Raw genomic sequence first — 13,808 nt, forward strand, 5'->3', positions numbered from 1 at the left:
GATGTACATGTACATAAATCTGTCTTTCCCGTGGTCTCTCTGGTAGGCAGGGACCTTGAGCCAGGATTCCTTCCCTCCCTTCCCTCGAACCCCACTTTCTCCCCATGGCTCCCTGACCCATGCACAGCCACCTAGCAGGTCCTTCTGCCTCTGTGCTTGGCACTTTCCATCCATTGTCCTCACAGCTACCCCAGTGACCTTTGTAAAATGCAGCTATGTCATATTATTCCTTGCTTAAAAGTAATAGTCACTTCTCGTCTCCTCCCAAGTGTGTAAAATCCAAGCTCTTCTCAGGATATGTAAACCCTTGGCTACCGCCCACCCTCGAGCTTCCTCTCCCACCCCTGCCTGACTCCCATTTCATGCTCCAGATACGTAAACTGCTTGTAACTCCACACACACTCGGCTTATCCCCTCTGCCTGAAATGCCCTTTCCAAAATTACTAAATTAAAATTGGTATCAGGACAAACACATACTGTGCTTATGAGCTTCCAAAAGAGTGGTCCAATTTTAAATATTCACATTAAATAGGGATATTTACCCGGTTTATACTTGGCCAGATATTCTGTGAGGAGGAGCTCTGGGCTCGGGGGCCAGACCATCATTTAGTCCTAGCTCTGCTCCTTAATGACTGCAGATCCTTGGGCTGGTCACTTGGGATGCCTGAATCTCATTTATTTTATGCAAAATGAGGGTTATAAATATTCACCCTAAAGGAGGAGGAACAGTGAAATGTTGGATGTGAAGGCACCTTATAAACTGCAGTGCTGCACAAATGCCTCCTGAGCAGAAGGCAACCTGCCCCCAGTGAGCAGCTCAGAACAGAGTCCTGTCACACGCGTCCATGTGAAGAGAGTCCACCAAGAGGCTTTGTATGAGCAACAAGGCTGTTTATTTCAGTTGGGTGCAAATGGACTGAGTCCGAAAAGAGAGTCAGCAAAGGGAGATAAGGGTGGAGCAGTTTTATGGGATTTGGGTAGGTAACGGAAAATTACAGTTAAAGGTGGTTATCTCTTGCTGGCAGGGGCGGAGGTCACAAGGTACAGAGTGGGGAGATCATGAGACTCATTGGGGCGGGTGGGAGGTGGGGAGGGAAATGTCACAGGGTCGATTGATTAGTTGGGGTCAGGCAGGAACAAATCACAATGGTGGAATGTCATCTTTTGTGGTTCCTCAGTTGCTCCAGGCCATCTGGATGTATACGTGCAGGCCATAGGGGTTATGATGGCTTATCTTGGGTTCAGAGGCCTGACATTCCTGTCTTCTTATATTAATAAGAAAAACAAAACAAAATAGTGGTGAAGTGTTGGGGCAGTGAACATTTTGGGGGGTGGTATGGAGAGATAATGGGCGATGTTTCTCAGGGCCACTTCGAGCGGGATTAGGGGCGGCGTGGGAACCTAGAGTGGGAAAGATTAAACTGAAGAAAGATTTTGTGGTAAGGGGTGATATTGTGGGGTTATTAGAAGGAGGATTTGTGATATAGAATGATTGGTGATGGCCTGGATGTGGTTTTGAATGAATTGAGAAACTAAATGGAAGACACAAGGTCCAAATAAGAGAATGTTGTATATATAGTTTTGGTGCTGCAAAAGGAATAGCACTCAAATATAAAATTTTCTTTTTAATTCTCAGCAAGGCAAGTTACTTCTGTAGAAGGGTGAGCCCTTACAGATGAAGCAATGGTGAGTGCACACTTGGACAAGGGAGGGGAAGGGATTCTTATCCCTGACGCACCTGGCCCCTGCTGCTGTGTCGTTCCCCTATTGGCTGGGGTTAGACTGCACAGGCTGAACTAATTCCGATTGGCTAATTTAAAGACAGTGATGGGGTGAGTGCTTTGGCGGGAGTCAGGGCAGAGCAGGTAGCAGGTAATCTGAATGAGTCAGGGTGGAGCAGGTGATCGGAATGAGTCAGGGTGGCATAGGGAATCGGAATGAGTCAGGGTGGAGTAAGCAATCAAAAAAGGTTGCTTTACAAGGAAGTTAAGTTTAAAAGTAGAAGGCAAAGAATTGAACTTACTGACATATTAATTCTTTGAAAAGAAATTTAGAACTCATATCTAACAAGAAGGAGAAAAACAGGTATAAAGGACTAAGAATTGGGAGGGCCCAGGACATCCAATCAGAGAGTGCCCAAGGGAGTTCAGTGTAATTATTTGCTTGGTTGGCAAGCTTTTGGGCTCTATCCTTGAGTATTTTATGTTGTCATATACCAGGCCAGATTGATTTAGGTAAAAACAACACTCTTCATTTAGAAATATGCAGAGTCCTCCTTTTTCAGCAGTAAGTCAAGGCCTATTCCTGTCTTCTTATATTAACAATAAACAAAACAAAACAAAATAGTAGTGAAGTGTTGGTGACATGAGGGGAACAGGAAGCTGTTCAGTCCCATTTGCAAATTGATTTTTGGGGGTAAGGAAAACTAATGTACATGTGCCTGTCCAACCAGCAGGTGGACACACATAGGTGGAGGATCTACAGAGCTTCCTCCTTCCAAGAGACCTTGTGTAAGGCAAAACTGGAAATGTAAAGTGAAAAGATGAGAGGGAGCACCAAAAGAGGTGTCTTGCACCCAGACTCCTAGGGATCCAGTGAGGGCAGCAGCAGTTAGAGGTTGTAATGGGGATTGATGGGGCAACTGGGCAGAGGAGAAGGTTCAATTTTTATAGTATGTAGAGAAAGTTATGAGAACATAGTGTCTACAAGAAACCTTCCATTGTTATTCAGGGGTTGGGTATAAGTAAACAAGAAGGGGGGCTGGGAGGAGAGTCCAAAGAACAAGGGGAAGGTAGCCAAGGATGGAGTGAAATGCAGGACAAATGTCTTAAAGGAAATGAGAGGTTCTAAGAGGCGGGCTAGTGGCTTGTAACCCACATGGAACAGGTTATGAAAGGACAATAGAATGGAATGAGCCTGTGAGGCTGGAAGGAGGAATTTTCCTTGGTCCAAGAACTATTTGCCTTGAGTGGGGATGGATTGATAGGTGGAAACTTCAGCGGGAGAGTAAGTAGAAGTGACTGATGAGAAGGAGAAAAACTGGCCGTGAGGACAGAAGTAGGAATAATGGCTGCTTCATTAGCTGTCTTATCAGCATAATTGTTGCCTTGAGCAGTGGGGTCTGAGGCCCTTTGATGGCCTTTGCAGTGAATGACTCCAGCTTCCTTTGAAAGTAAAGCGGCCTTGAGAAGAGTTTTTATTAAAGAGACATTAATGATGGAGGACATTTGCATAGCGAGGAAACCTCTTTCAGCCCATATAACAGCACGGTGGTGCAGGATATGGAAGGCATATTTAGAGTCAGTATAAATATTGACACATAGTCCTTTTGCAAGAGTGAGGCTCGAGTTAAGGCAATGAGTTTGGCTTGCTGAGAGATGATGGAGTGGGGCAGAGTGGTAGCCTCAATTATAGATGTGGAAGATACTATAGCATAGCCTGCCTTTGCTGGTGAGTGGCGATTAGGCCTGGTGGAACTGCCATCAATAAACCAAGTGTGATCAGGGTGAGGAACAGGAAAGAAGGAAATATGGGGAAATGGAGTAAATGTCAGGTGGATCAGAGAGATACAGTCATGGGGGTCAGGTGTGGTATCAGGAATAATGTGGGAGGCCAGGTTGAAGTCTGGGCCAGGAAAAATGGCAATTGTGAGAGACTCAACAAAGAGTGAGTACAGCTGAAGGAGCCGAGGGTGGGGAGAGGGGAGCAGAAAGTATATCCATCAGGCGTGAGGAAGAAAATAGATTTTGAAAGTTATGAGAACAGTAGAGAGTGAGTTGAGCATAGTTTGTGATTTTGAGGGCCTCTAAAAGTATTAGAGCAGCAGCAGCCACCTCATGCAGACATGAGGGCCAGCCTAAAACGGTAAGGTCAAGTTGGACAAAAAGGCTACAGGGCACAGTCCTGATCCTTGTGTAAGAATTCCGACTGCACAGCCCTGCACTTTGGCTGTTTGTAATGAAAAAGTTGGGATGAGTCAGGGAGAGCTAATATGGGAGCAGTCTCTAGAGCTGCTTTTAAGGAATGGAAAGAGGAGTGGAGAAAGGATTTAGGATGTATGGGGTCAGATAGGTTTTCCTTTGTGAGTTTATATAATGGTTTTGTTAGGATGGCAAAACCAGGTATCCAAAGGCGAAAGTATCCAACCATGCCCAGGGAGGAAAGGAGTTGCTGCTTTGTAGAAGGGGTTGGGGTTTGAGAGATCAGCCAGACACAATCGGCAGGGGGAGTATGTGTGTTTTCATGAAGAGTTATGCCAAGGTAGGTAATGGATGGAGAAGAAATTTAAGCTTTGGAGGGGGATACCTGATATTCCTTGGAGAATAAATGTTGAAGGAGCAGAAGGGTATCTTGTTGAGAAGATTCAAGGGAGGGGCTACGAAGTAGAAGGCCATCAATATATTGAATAAGGTGAGAAGCAGAGGGGTGGAAAGAAAGTAAATCATAAGAAATAGCTTGGCTGAAGTAATGAGGGCTGTCCCTGAAGCCTTGTGGCAGTACCACCCAGGTAAGCTGCTGGGACTGATGGGTATCAGGGTCAGTCCAGGTAAAAGCAAAGAGAGGCTGGGATGAGGGGTTCAGGGGAATAGTGAAAAAAGCATCTTTAAGATCAAGAATGGAATAGTGAGTTGTGGAGGAAGGTATTGAGGACAAAATAGTGTATGGGTTGGGCACCACAGGGTGGATAGGCAAAACAATTTGGTTGATAAGGTGCAGATCCTGAACTAACCTGTAAGACTTGTCCAGTTTTGGGACAGGTAAAATGGGGGAATTGTAAGGAGAGTTTATAGGCTTTAGAAGCCCGTGCTGTAGCAGGCAACTGATAACAGGTTTCAGTCCCCTTAAAGCCTGCTGTGGGATGGGATACTGGCATTAAGTGGGGTAAGGGTGATTAGGTTTTAATGGGATAGTAATGGGTGTGTGATTGGTTGCCAGGGAGGGAGGAGAGGTGTCCCATACTTTTTGGTTAAAGTTGGGGGATACAAGAGGAAGATGCAAAGGAGGCTTTGGGTTGGGGAGAAGGGTGGCAATGAGATGTGGCTGTAGTCCAGGACTATGGAATATGTTTGAAATGTTTCATAATGAAAAATTTAAATAATAAACATTTAATTTGTTTAAAAGTACAGTTAAAATGATTAGTCATAAACTGCAAACATTTGCTTGATTTCACCTTTTGCTTGAAAATTGTGTCACCATAGGCTAGGCACAGTGGCTCATGCCTGTAATCCCAGCACTTTGGGAGGTTGAGGCAGGCAAATCACAAGGTCAGGAGGTAGAGACCATCCTGGCTAACACGATGAAGCCCTGACTCTTCTAAAAGTACAAAAAATTAGCTGGGCATGGTGGTGGGCGCCTGTAGTCCCAGCTACTCAGGAGGCTGAGGCAGGAGAATCACTGAACCCAGGAGATGGAGATTGAAGTGAGCCGAGATCATGCCACTGCACTCCAGCCTGGGCGACAGAGCGAGACTCCGTCTCAAAACAAAAAAGAAAGAGAAAGAAAGAAAAAGAAAGAAAGAAAGAAAGAAAAAAGAAAGGAAGGAAGGAAGGAAGGAAGGAAGGAAGGAGGGAAAATTGTGTCACGATAATGAAAATGAAAAGTTCCCTAGGATGAATCAGTTAAATTTTTGCAAGAGAAATTAGTGTGAGAAACTGGAGGTGAGACTGGAGTCGGAAGTTGGCCCCTTAACTCCTGCAGAGTGACAAAGCCAGTTAAGACTGAGAGGGACTTCTGGCAGATGTCACGTGGGGATCTTCTTGCTCTTCCTTGACCAAGTCTGAGCTAAGACAGGCCCTCCGGGCCAGGGCTGCCTGGGTGTATTGACTGGGCAGGGACAATTGTTTATGTACTCTTTTGTCTCATGGACTCCTCCTTTAGAGAAAAAGTGTAAGCTGTCAGGCCATTAACAGGAGAGTCGGCTTCAAACGAGCACCCAGCAATGTGTCCTCTGAAGGAGAAAATGGTCTTGTATACCTGCACGCCCGAACAAAAGCAGCTACTGTTCTGATTTACTTAGCAATGCGTAAAAAAAAATGAATCTATGAACAAGGATTTCTGGCACTGAGAAAAACTACTGAAATAAGCTGGGTTTTTATACCATTTTATATTCATTTCCTGTTTCTGCTGTAGCAAATCAGCACCACAAACCTGATGGCTTAAAAAAACACAAGCTTATAATCTAACAGTCCTGGAGGCCCAGAGGTCTGAAGTCAGTTTCACTGGACTAAGGTCAAGGTGTCAGTAGGGCAGGTTCTTCCTGGAGGTGCTGAAGGGAGAATCCGTTTTCTGCCTTTTCCTGCTTCCAACAGCTGTCACATTCCTTGGCCCATGGCCCCTTCCTTGGCCTTCAAAGGGCATCACTCCAGTCTCTGCTTCCTTCTCCTCCAACTGTGACTCCTCTCTGTCCCTCTTAGAAGGGCCTTGGTGATTACATAGGGTCCATGCAGCTAATCCAGGCTGATCTCCCCATCTCAAGACACTGAATTTAATGACATCTGCCAAGTCCCTTTTCTACACAAGGTCATATTCATAGGAGATTAGGATCTGGACAACTTTGTGGGGCCAGCATTCAACCCAGCACACCTGTCACAGCATGACACTACGGGAAGCACCTTGCTGATGGCCCACACCCAAGTCATGCCACTTAAACTGAGGCACATGTACCCAGGCTCATGGGGAGAAGCCAGGCAGTTCTCAAAGGCACAAGAAGAATGTAGCGTATTACCTTTATTTCATGGGAAGTGATTTAAGACTATTTTATTTTATTTTATATTTTTGAGACAGGGTCTCACTCTGTCATCCAGGCTGGAGTACAGTGATGTAATCAGAGCTCATTGCAACCTCAGACTCCTGGGTTCAAGTGATCCTCCCACTTCAGCCTCCCAAAGTGTTGGGATTACAGGTGTGAGCCACCCCACTTGGCAAGACATTATTTTAATATTTAAATAAACACAGCTATATTACAGAATAGAATGTTAGATTCTCATAAATTCTAAAAATAAAAATGTAAGTCTTGAAAGAAACATTCCCACTATTGGCAAGGTTATTTGGGCCTCATCCCTAGACCCTTGGGTTGGGTGAAACTCACTTCTGCCACTGGAGTTCCTCAGTGTATGAGACTGAGAGGCACTGCTCATCAACTCCTCACTTAACAGACGAGGAGACGGAGGCCCGACAGACAACAACCTCTTAAAATCACAAAGAGGCAGACGAGGGCGGGTGTGCGGCCTCCCTGGCTTGTGGTGGTTTGCTGTGTGTTTACTCCAGAACGCCCTGCTCACATGGCTGAGACAGAGGACAGAAGGCTTGAGAGGGATGGAAAGAGCAACCAGGTGGACTGACTGACGTGTTTCCTCACAGAGGGCTGCGTCACCGGCCTATCTGGTGGTGTCCTAGGCACCGCCTGTATCAGAGGCTTCTCTGATGGTGGGATAAGGGCTCTGAAAGGCATGTTCTCTCAAGGGGAAATTAATATGAATTTTTGGCAATTTGCCCAGCTGCTAAATATTGATTCTGTTTCCCTTGAAGGAAGTTTAGCAGGATTCTAATGAGATATTTATGTGTTTACAGGCATTTATATGGCAAAGCAGTTAGTAATGTTTATTGTAAAACAGTGGGTTTGAACCTAATAATGATTTTCTGTTGGAAGACCATGTCCGTCAGAATTTGACTCACTTGAGAAAGCAGGAAACTCACATTTGGGGCCTCCTCCTCCTTTCTTCTCTCCTCTTCAGATACTTCTAGATTTTCCCTGTTGCTTCCTAAAGCAGTGATCCTCAGCCAGGGGAGTAAGAGTCTCTTTTTGGAATGGGGTATGTCAGACTTTTTATTTTGAAGAGAAATATGCAAAAATACAGATCGTACCATGACAGCATGAATCACATCGATACAAATCTCAGCCAGTCCTACCACTCCCCATGATGCAAGATTGCCTGGACACGTTAATTGTCTGCTAGTTATTTTTGAATCTAACATCACTAGCACCAGTGTGTTGTGAACACCAGAGAATGGTGTTTGAGGCGATGAACTACGTGCACCAGAGAATGGAGCAGTGGAGAGCTGTTTCCATCTAGGCGGGCAGTCAAAGCTCAGTGTGAGGGGCCACACTCTTGGCCCATGCACTGTTGCATGGGTTGAAATGCCATGGCTTGAATTCAGTAAGCCTCTGACTGTTAGTGCTCTGGGAATATTTCATTCCCTCAAAAAGAGTACACATGTCTCCAGGCAGGATCTGTACCTTTTCATGTGCCAAATGAAAGACATACACAGAACAATTACTCTGGTTGTCAGAGGTAGCCAAAAATATCCAAAACCTGGTACCAAATATGTAGGGCAAATTATTATTATGCAATGCCAATCTCAAACTGTGTTAGTTTCAGAAGCCCTTGAGTCAAGCATCCTTTCAAGTTGCAAATTTATGGGTTAAGAAATAGAACTCTATTCAACAGCTGGGAAATTACTTGGACATTGGCAAATGCCAAAAAAATAATGCTCAAAGTAGGAGAACAAAATAACAACCTCCTTTGTTTTAAAGCATTACCCATTTCACAATTCATGAGGTCCTCAGAGCTAGGTTTGTATGATGAACAATCAAGGCATCTGCAAATCAGCAAACACATTGAATTCATGTTTAAAGCAAAACCACATTTGCATGACGAACACTAGAACATTGCTCTAAACAAGGACCAGTCCCTGGGACATCCAAAAACTCAGGAATGCAGAACAATGCGGGTACTTAGAGCAAACGAGGACAAATGACAAGATGGCAAACAACTCAAAGATAGCAGATTGCTCTTTTTTAGAAGCTTCCACCTCTAAACAGTTGGATTCATTTTACATTCCTAGCCTTGGGAATTTGACTGTTTCTATTGTAATTGCTCATGAGCCACTATTAGAAAGGTCACTTGTATAAAGGTATGAAGCTATAATGACTAGGACATTTTTAAAAAGGCAAACTGAGTCAGATCTCGGTTGTCTTAACTCTGTCCATGTAAGTACCATATAAAACAGATACTCACTTTTTTGGGCAAAGTCTGATACAATAGTGAAAGTGTCCATATTTGCAAATCACAATTTTAGGGACTTTTTTATTTTTTATTTTATTTTATTTTATTTTTTTCAAGGCAGAAGAATTTTTCTTAGTACAGAACAAAATGGAGTCTCCTATGTATACTTCTTTCTACACAGACACAGTAACAATCTGATCTCTCCTTCTTTTCCCCACATTTCCCCCTTTTCTTTTTGACAAAACCGCCATCGTCATCATGGCCCGTTCTCGAAGGTCGCTGTCTCTTCGGAGCTGTTGGGTACACTTCCCAGACGGGGCGGCCGGGCAGAGGCGCCCCCCACCTCCCAGACGGGGCGGCCGGGCAGAGGCGCTCCTCACCTCCCAGACGGGGCGGCCGGGCAGAGGCGCCCCTCACCTCCCAGACGGGGCGGCCGGGCAGAGGCGCTCCCCATTTCCCAGTAGGCACTTTTTTAAAAACTAAATTGGTTTTATTTACAAGGAGGTCAGTTATTTTCTCTGCATTTGATTTCACTAAATTATCAAGTGCAGGGAAAACATTTACTTTCTAGATTCATACTCCTTAAGGAACACTTTTTATTATTTTTTTCAAATGCTGCTCTCCAGGTTGAGCCTCCCTAATCTGAAAATCTGAAATTGGAAATGCTCCAAAATCGGAAACTTTTAGAGTGCCAGCCTAACGCCACAAATGGAAAACTCCACACCTGACCTCATGCAAAGGGTCTCAGTGAAAACACAGGCACACAACGCATGGTTTATCCAGTGGCTCCAAGGGAAAAAAGACCTTCCCAGCCCCTTAGCTGCAATAGATATTTTCCACTCATTCCCAGATTCCCCCAGGCAAGCATGTCCACAAAGGGTAATAAAATAACATTTCATTTCATGCACAAAATCATTTTAACGTATCGTGTAAAATTATCTTCAGTCTATGTGTATAAGCTGTACGTGAAGCATAAATAGGGTTTGTGTTTAGATATTCCATCCCCAAGATATCTCATTATGTACGTGCAAACATTTCAAAATCCAAAAATTTCCAAAATTCCATACACTTCTGGTCTCTAGCATTTTGGATAAGTGATACTCAACCTGTATTAACAAGCAGTAATTAATTTTAAAATGTGCTGTGCAGAATGCTTTTACATAGCTAATGGTTTTAGCAGCAAGGGCGATCACCTCTGCTTCATATCCAACATTTCACTAATCACCTCTTTTATAAGGTTTCTTTTCCTTAACCCATATCACCCTGTTACAATATAAACTAAGGCACATTAAAATTTTAAAGAGTTTCTTGAGTAGACAGATTCATGAATTGGGCAGCACCAGACCTTAAGTAGCTTGGGGCACCACTGAAGGGACACTGGGGTTTTGACAACGTGAATACAGAAGCAAGGCAAAGAAATTCATCCAGCAAAAGTCCCTAGTTAGAAGTTAGTTCCGATTGGCCTACGATATGACCGTTGACACTGAGGTGGGTTTCGTTTGCTTACTAGGAAGCCAGGGTGCTGAAGCCTCCTCAGTCTAATGGCCTCCCAGTGAATTATTTATTTAGAAAACTGATTCTCTTTCAACATTCCAGTCTTATAGTGAAAGTATTTTTGTTTGCTCTTTTTCCTTTTCTTTTCTTTTTTTTTTTTTTTTCTGAGATGGAGTCTCTCTCTGTCGCCCAGGCTGGAGTGCAATGGCAAAATAGCTCACTGCAACCTCTGCCTCCTGGGTTCAAATGATTCTTGTGCCTCAGCCTCCCAAGTAGCTTGGATTACAGGTGCTGGCCACCACACCCAGCTAATTTTTTTGTATTTTTAGTAGAGACCAGGTTTCATCATGTTGGCCAGGCTGGTTTTGAACTCCTGACCTCAAGTGATCTGCCTGCCTTGGCCTCCCAAAGTGCTAGGATTACAAGTGTGAGCCACGGCGCCTGGCTTTTTTTTCTTTTTCTTTTTTTTTTTTTTGAGATAGGGTCTCATTCTGTCACCTGGGCTGGAGTTCAGTGGCACCATCATAGCTCACTTTAGCTTCAAACTCCTGGGCTCAAGTCAGCCTCCTGCCTCAGCCTCCTGAGTAGCTGGGACTACAGGCATGTGCTACCATGCCTGGCTAATTCTCAATTTTCTTGAAGAGATTAGGTCTTGCTGCGTTGCCCAGGCTAATCTCGAATTCCTGGCCTTAAGCAATCCTCCTGCCTCAGCCTCCCAAAGTGCTGAGATTACATGCATGAGCCACTGCACTGAGCCTTCTTTTTAAAATTAAAACAAAATTCTGGCCGGGTGCAGTGGTTCACACCTGTAATCCCAGCACTTTGGGAGGCTGAGGTGGGTGGATCACAAGGGCAGTCAGGAGTTTGAGACCAGCCTGGCCAACATAGCAAAACCCCCTCTCTACTAAAAATACAAAAAATTAGCCAGGTGTGGTGAGAGGGCACCTGTAATCCCAGCTACTAGGGGGGCTGAGGCAGGAGAATTGCTTGAACCCGGGAGGCAGAGGTTGCAGTGAGCCAAGATCACGCCATTGCACTCCAGCCCAGCGACAGTGCGAGACTCCGTCTCAAAAAAAAAAAAAAAAAAAAAAAAAGAATTCCATATTCTAAAAAGTAAACTTGGTCTACAAAGATGTTGTCATTTGTGATATCAGTAGGTCTCATATCAGTTATAAAGTCCTTTGCCTCTGTTAGCCAGATTTCAACTGTGAGCAGATACTTTTTACCACTGTTGAGCTTTATAGAATTTCACAGCCAGTAAGACTAAGTTGATCTGGGTGCTTTCCTTATATATGTACGATATGGTTTGGATTTGTGTCCCCGCCTAAATCACATGTCTAATTCTTTTTTTTTTTTTTTTTGAGATGGAGTCTTGCTCTGTCACCCAAGCTGGAGTGCAGTGAGGCAATCTCAGCTCACTGCAACCTCTGCCTCCCTGGTTCAAGCAATTCTCCTGCCTCAGCCTCCCAAGCAGCTGGGATTACAGGCACGTGCCACCATGCCTGGCTAAGTTCTGTATTTTTATTGGAGACGGGGTTTCACCGTGTTGGCCAGGCTGGTCTTGAACTCCTGACCTCAAGTTATCCACCCGCCTCGGCCCTCCAGAGCGCTGGGATTACAGGCGTGAGCCACTGCCGCCTAATTCTAATACCCAATGTTGGAGGAGGGGCCTGGTGGGAAGTGATTGGATCATGGGAGCGGACTTCCCCTTTGCTAGAGAGCCAGTTCTCTCGAGATCTGGTTGGTTGAAAGTGTGTAGCACCTCCCCCTTCTCTCTCTTCCTCTTGCTCCAGCCATGTAATGCATGCTTGATTCCCCTTCACCTTCCACCATGATTGTAAGTTTCCTGAGGCCTCCCCAGCCATGCCTCCTGTACAGCCTGCAGAACCATGAGCCAGTTAAACCTCTTTTCTCTATAAATCACCCAGTCTCCAGTAACAGTGCAAGAACGGACTAATACAATGTATTTATTTGAAGTGCTTCTGAAGACGAACTGCCTCTAAACTTCACTATCTGGGGCACAAACATCAGCAAGCTGGAGAACGCCCTTGGCCTGCTGCAGCTCCCTTGACATCGTCTTGCATTACTTCCTCCGGTGGCCTCACTCCAGAGACTACCCCTGGTCCGTGAAAAGCAGAAGGCAAATGAAAATGTATACGTTGTAAACCCACGACTCATTTCAGCCAGCCAGGCATCTCTTTCCCTTTTATCATTACACAAGTAAAGCATGAATTCATGCTGATTGTAAAAAAAATGCAGCAAGGCAGAAATACATGGAGCAAAAAGTGAAAGCCCCTTCATCACACCTTCTTTCCATCTGCTTCCCCTCCCAGACGTCTCTCAGAGTATTTATAGATTCAACAGATGGAAGACCTCCCGCCCCAGCTCGGCTCCACCCCACCCCGGCTCCACCCCACCCCTGCACTCCTAGGAAGACCTCTCCTCCTCACTCCCCAAGAGCACAGATTTTATGCTGGAGAATTTCTGGAGTGGAAAAGGAGGCCCAGTTTTACAAACTAAAGGGGTCCCATAGATACCTCAGGAAGAGAGGGAAAGCCAAGCACGAGTCTGTAGAGGGGGAGGGGGCAGCCTGGGGGCAGCCTAGCGACAGGCGGCCGGCGGGCAAGCAGAGAGGCTGCAGGCAGTCAGCTTTGGGGACAGTGAGGAGGCTGTGAGTTGCTCAGACAGAGGCAGGGGCACACAGAGGCCTCCCTCCCAGGGAACAGCTCCAGCTTTAGGACCCATCTTTTGCAGCTCAGGAGCCGTTCTGAGTTAGCAAGGACGTGTACCCTTCTAAGCCTTCCTTTGTTTCTTTGTGTAACTGCCTTTGTCTGGGGAGCCCCGGGGGCTGCAGCGGTCAGGAGGAAGCGGGCCCAGCCTCAGCCAGGCCTGCACGGCGGAGGGGCAGCCCCACTCTCCGGAAACAGGGAGGGCCCAGCGCAGAGCAGCGTTCCCCAGCAGAGCACAGTGAGATGGGCCTGGGCCTGCCTTTGGGGTGGGAAGAAGCTGCCCTTAAAAAGGGGTTACAGGCCGGGCGCGGTGGCCCACACCTGTAATCACAGCACTTTGGGAGGCTGAGGCAGGCGGATCATTGAGGTCAGGAGTTCGAGAACAGCCTGGCCAACATGGTGAAACTCCCGTCTCTACGAAAAATACAAAAATTAGCCAGGAGTCGTGTCAGGAACCAGTAATCCCAGCTACTCGGGAGGCTGAGGCAGGAGGCTCGCTTGAACCCCAGAGGCAGAGGTTGCAGGGAGCCGAGACTGCGACACTGGACTCCAGCCTGGGCGACGGAGTGAGACTCTGTCA

The 13,808-nt window shown here is 45.8% G+C and overlaps 1 annotated feature.

Moving 5' to 3' along the window:
• Positions 13,210–13,329: an enhancer, noted in NCBI's record as "active region_13074". NCBI's record gives its function as "activates an Ori minimal core promoter by ATAC-STARR-seq in GM12878 lymphoblastoid cells {active_cell/tissue: GM12878}" and the evidence as "EXISTENCE:reporter gene assay evidence [ECO:0000049][PMID:35858748]".

This window comes from Homo sapiens, chromosome 18, assembly GCF_000001405.40.
Source record: "Homo sapiens chromosome 18, GRCh38.p14 Primary Assembly".
Taxonomy (NCBI): Eukaryota; Metazoa; Chordata; class Mammalia; order Primates; family Hominidae; genus Homo; species Homo sapiens.